This window comes from Homo sapiens, chromosome 4 (assembly GCF_000001405.40).
Source record: "Homo sapiens chromosome 4, GRCh38.p14 Primary Assembly".
In the NCBI taxonomy this organism is placed as follows: Eukaryota; Metazoa; Chordata; class Mammalia; order Primates; family Hominidae; genus Homo; species Homo sapiens.
This window is the reverse complement of record NC_000004.12, coordinates 77,688,682-77,693,761: the sequence shown is the minus strand read 5'-3', so window position 1 is coordinate 77,693,761 and position 5,080 is coordinate 77,688,682.

The following is a 5,080-nucleotide window of genomic DNA, read 5'->3' as shown; positions in this document are numbered from 1 at the left end:
GAATAATATTCAGTCTTAAAAAAGAAAAGAAATGCTGTGATTTGTGACAACATGAATGTAATTGGAGGCCATTATTCTAAGTGAAATAATTCAGGCACAGAAAGACATATACTGCATGATCTTAGTTATAGGTAGAATCTAAAATAATTGAACTAATAGAAGCAGAGAGTAGAATATGATAATATGGTTCTGTGGTACAAAGGCTGGGGCATGGGGAGAATGGGGAGATGTTGGTCAAAGGGTACAAAATCTCAGACAAGAGGAATTACTTTTTGAAGATCTATTGCACAGCATGATGAATATAGTTACAGTATTTTACATTTTGAAATTGCTAAGAGTAAATTTGAAATGTTCTCACCACAAAAAATATTAAGAATTTGAGATGATAAATATTTAACTATATTAATTATTCTACATTGTTTTGCATCATTTTGTGTCCCATTGGTTATATTATACAAATTACATACATTTATACAATTATAAATTGTCAATTTACAATTAGAAAAAAGAATTGCTGAGTCATAGAGTAGGCCTATGTTCAACTTTAATCGATCCTACAAAACAGACACTATGCATCTGGATTGCTCCAGGTCTATTTCCCACACGCATTTCACCTGTAATTTCTCAGGTCTCCTTTCTGGAGGCCTGCTAGTTTCAGGCATCTCACATGCTGGGGAACGGGCCACTGCATAATTGGCTAATACACCATGTGGCCATTGAGGGCAGCATCATGAAATAGTTCACTCTTCTGATTTCTCTACAGAGAAGGGGTAAGCCAAAGAAGTGGGGCGTGGTGAGCAAGATAGGTACTGGTAAATAAGAATGTGTCTGGAGACTAGTTATCTCCTTTCCTAGTGGGATATACTTGCTGCCACTGGGCTTGATGATTCGCTTTTACCTGAGGAGGGGAAATATCAGGAAAGTGGTCTGAGACAGTGTGTGGCAATGCCAGGCCAGGTAGGAAATGTGTGTTTCCAAATAGGTACAGAAGATGGATCTAGCCTATGCTCATACATACACTCCAGAATTGGAACCACAGAGCATAGTTGAGATTTGGGGTCGTAGGTTTGCTGTTCCAGTGTGGAGAAAAAGGGTATGCACATCAGAGGAATATAGTACGAGGAACCAAGCTGGAAGATGTGGCTGAGTCTCTCAAGAGACTGCCAAATCCTAGGGAAGCTACTTGGGATAAATACCTCATTAATGAGCCGGTTAGGGCACTGGCTCCCCACACCATGTCTATTACTATGTCTATCGTGGCTTCATCAGTGGCGATTACCACGAGAAAGGGAACATCAGCATTGCCTGGACTGTCCCATAACCAGACAACCTCTTTTCTCACCCTTCTGAGTTGGAATTAGGAGGATGAAAACTGCAGGAAAGGAGGGTGTGGTGTGAAAGAGCCACCACACTCCATTCGTACTCCCCTAAGCTAAGTCTAATTGCATGGGAGGAAAGGGGAGCCTTGATCAACTGATTCAAGTTTTAAAATAAACAGAACTGAGTTTTAAGCACAGACATTATGTTTTAATAACTGAAAGGGACAGCAAGTTATAGACTAGGACTGAGATCGCATTAGGGATCCTGCTATCCAGTGAGATGGAGGATTAACAGAGCAGAGTTGAAAACATTTACTGGAAAAATAAAATAGTTCTATGTTTATTCCCAAGTTGTTGAGACTGCTCAGTCAAATCGGTTACATAATCTGACATAAATTCACTCAATTAATGTAATCCTGCACCAAGAGGACAGACCCTTTATCTATTTTGTCTCCTACTATATTCCCAGTGTTCAGCATAAGGCCTGGGACATGACAAATGTTAGTTCCATATTTATTAAATGGGTAGCATGAATGATCTGTTTTTCTTGTTACCACATTTTTGTGTTCTAACTAAAAAATTGCACACACTCCTAATGATAAACTCTCCCTGAAGGCAATCATCTGTGAAAGCATATTAACGTATTATTCAATTTGCAACATCTTTTGAAACAGCTAGCTTTCAAATCAAAGAAGTAATTGAAGCAAGTTAGAGATTTTACTTTCAAATTCGAAACCAGTATTAATTGACTTATAACTTTGTTACCCACATTGAGGAAAAAAAATGAAGAGAAAAATGTGGTTAGCATATTAAGCAGGCACTTTATATGTCTACAAGCTTCTCTTCAAATGGGTTCACTTTGCAACTGGGACCAGATTGGGTTATTGAGTTGACTATTGCTACTCAGGGTTTGAAGTTTTGTGGTATTTTCATTATGTTGAGAAAGATTTTTTTCCGAGAAAATCCAAGTGTTAGCAGCATTAAATAACAGTGAGTTCAGCCAGTGCCACAATGGGCAGGCAATACAGTGGGCCAGGATGAAGCTATTATCTGTTCCATCCAGTTCAGTGTGTCCCAGGGTTTCACACTCAACTGTGAAACCCTGGGGAGAGGGATACTATTTGGGGCCTTTACTTACTAAGAGAAATGTAATGTACTAAAAGAAACTTATCCTAAAATGATCTTACTTATAAGTTACTTCCATGGCATGGACTCAAGGATATTATTACAAGGTGAATAACAAGTCATTTATCATCATTTTCTTTAATAAAATATTAAGAGCCTGCACTAGAGCAACAAGCAATATTCTTATTTTTTATAAACTTTTAGTTTTAGGACAATGTTAGTACATATAGTTCCCATATACCCCATAACAAGTTTCCCTATTATAAATATGTTATATTAGTATGATATATTCATTAATGAACCAAAATTCATGCATTATTATTAGCTGAAATCCATAATGTATTCAGATTTTGTTTGTTTTTTTTTTTTTTTAAAAAACCTAAGCCATGTTTTTCTGGTCCAGGATCCCATTCATGACACCACGTTATATGTAGTTGTCTTATCTGCTTAGGCTCCTTTTGGCTGTGACAATTTATTAAACTTTGTTTTTGATCTTTACAGTTTTGAGGAATAGGGTTAGGCATGTTTAGAATGTGCCTCATTTGGGGTTTTTCTCATGATTATCCTGGCATTATGGGTTTTTGGAAGGAAGATCACAGAAGAAAAGGGCAGTTTTCATCGCATCACATCATGGGTACATACTCTGAACATTATTTACCACTATTGATATTGACCTTGACCACCTGCCTCAAACAGATCTTATCAGATTTTTCCCATGTAAAGTTACCCCTTTCCTCCTTTTCCATACTGGAAGAAAGTCAGATTCATCCATTTTGGGGAGGAACTCAAATTACTCTGAAATTCCAGTTTTGTTTTAATTTTATTCCGGCATTACTTTCTGCACCAGTCATACAGAGGTATGCACACATGCACAAGTGTTCACACACAAACTCTTTCTTTCTCTCTCATCTCTACTCAGAAATACCAAAAAAGGTCTACACAGAGAGATCTCAAATTCGAAACACAGGCTATCAACAAGCTCTCCCCATACAAAAAGTTTATCAGTAACTATAGGTTGAAACCATAGATCAATACAGGAATTTTTCCCCACTGAAGTACATTCAAAGATGAAAAAGATGAAACTCAGAGGTGAAATAAGTTGCTGGTGCTTGTTTTCAAAAAACATGGGGATAATGATTGTAAAATATGGATTCCTCAGACCTATTCTTTCTTTGTCAAGGAATAAAGAACTCGCAATTACCAAGCTGGGCCTCTGAAATGGTTGGCGTTTTTTTGTTTTTGTTTTGTTTTTTTCCTGGAAATTCCAGGGATTTGAACTGTTGGCCTCCACTTCCACTTGGAAGCTGGGTTTAGCTCCCAGTGAGGCTCAGGAAGAGAGAAACATAATTTCCTTTCACGCTAACTCTTTAAAGGAGGAGACGCACTTATAATTCCTCCTTTCCTTTTTATTGTTAGCAATTATGCAGAATCAATAAAATAGTATTAACAACAACAAAGAGCAAAATTCCCTCCTCCCCACAACATGAATAGTTGTTTGTCTTCACTGAAATTTCATGTAGCCTCATTTCCCAAATTCCGACTTAGCAGACTTTCTTAGACTGTTTTTAGGAACCTAGTCTGTATCCAATTTCAGATCAAACTCTTTATATTACTTATATAACTAGCAGCGGTGCTAATGCAAATCTGTTGAGTATCCTCTATTTTTTCTCTGGGAATGGGCTATTCTATTCTTGGTCTCTAATTTCCTGGGTAAGGAAGAAATTCCTTTTGGGGTTTCACCCCTTAGATTTGAGATACCTAAAGTGACTTTGAATCATTTTCTTCATGCCTCCTGGAAATCTTAGGAGGACTTGCTACCACACATCCTTTGTTCTACCCTGATATTTGGTTAATAAAAAATGAACTAGAAAGAGAATGGCTTGGGATAATTGGGAAAATAAATTTTATCTGGCATTCTAAAAGATAAATGGACTCGGGATTCATAAATTCTGTATGAGATGGCACTGAAGAAAAAAAATAAGGTTCCTTATTCTGATACAGGAAGAATTGAGGAGAGTATAGACCAGCACTGTCCAACAGAAATATAATGTGAGCCATATATGTAATTTTAAATTTTCTAGTAGCCACATGAAAAAGAGGAAACAGGTGAAACTAATTTTCAAATATATAGGTTAATATATTGAAAATATTATTTTGACAGGTAATCAATATAAAAATATTAATGAAATATTTTTTCTCTAAGTCTTTGAAATTCAGTGCATATTTTACATTTAAAGCATATCTTAATTTGGATACTAAATTTTTAATGATTAAGATGAAGAAGCAGTCAAAGGAAAACAAAAAAGTTGTGTTTAGCAGAAAGTGTTTTATTCTGCTTAAGTTTTTACGTTTAAATGAACTAGAATTAAGTAAAATTTTAAAAATTTACTTCCTTAGTTAACACTAGACATTTTGCAAGTTCTTAATAGCTACATGTAGCTGGTGGCTACTGTAATAGATTGTACAAGTATAGATTAAGATGTAGAGCACTTTTAAGTTGGAGAGTTTATTAAAGTGGTCTTTACCATCTCTGCAAAACAGAGGTTAAGAGTACTGGTTGAAAGTTACAGAAAAATAATTAGAGGTTTGATTGGATATGAAAAGCTTTCGATTGGCCAAAGTTGGCTAAGAAGTCA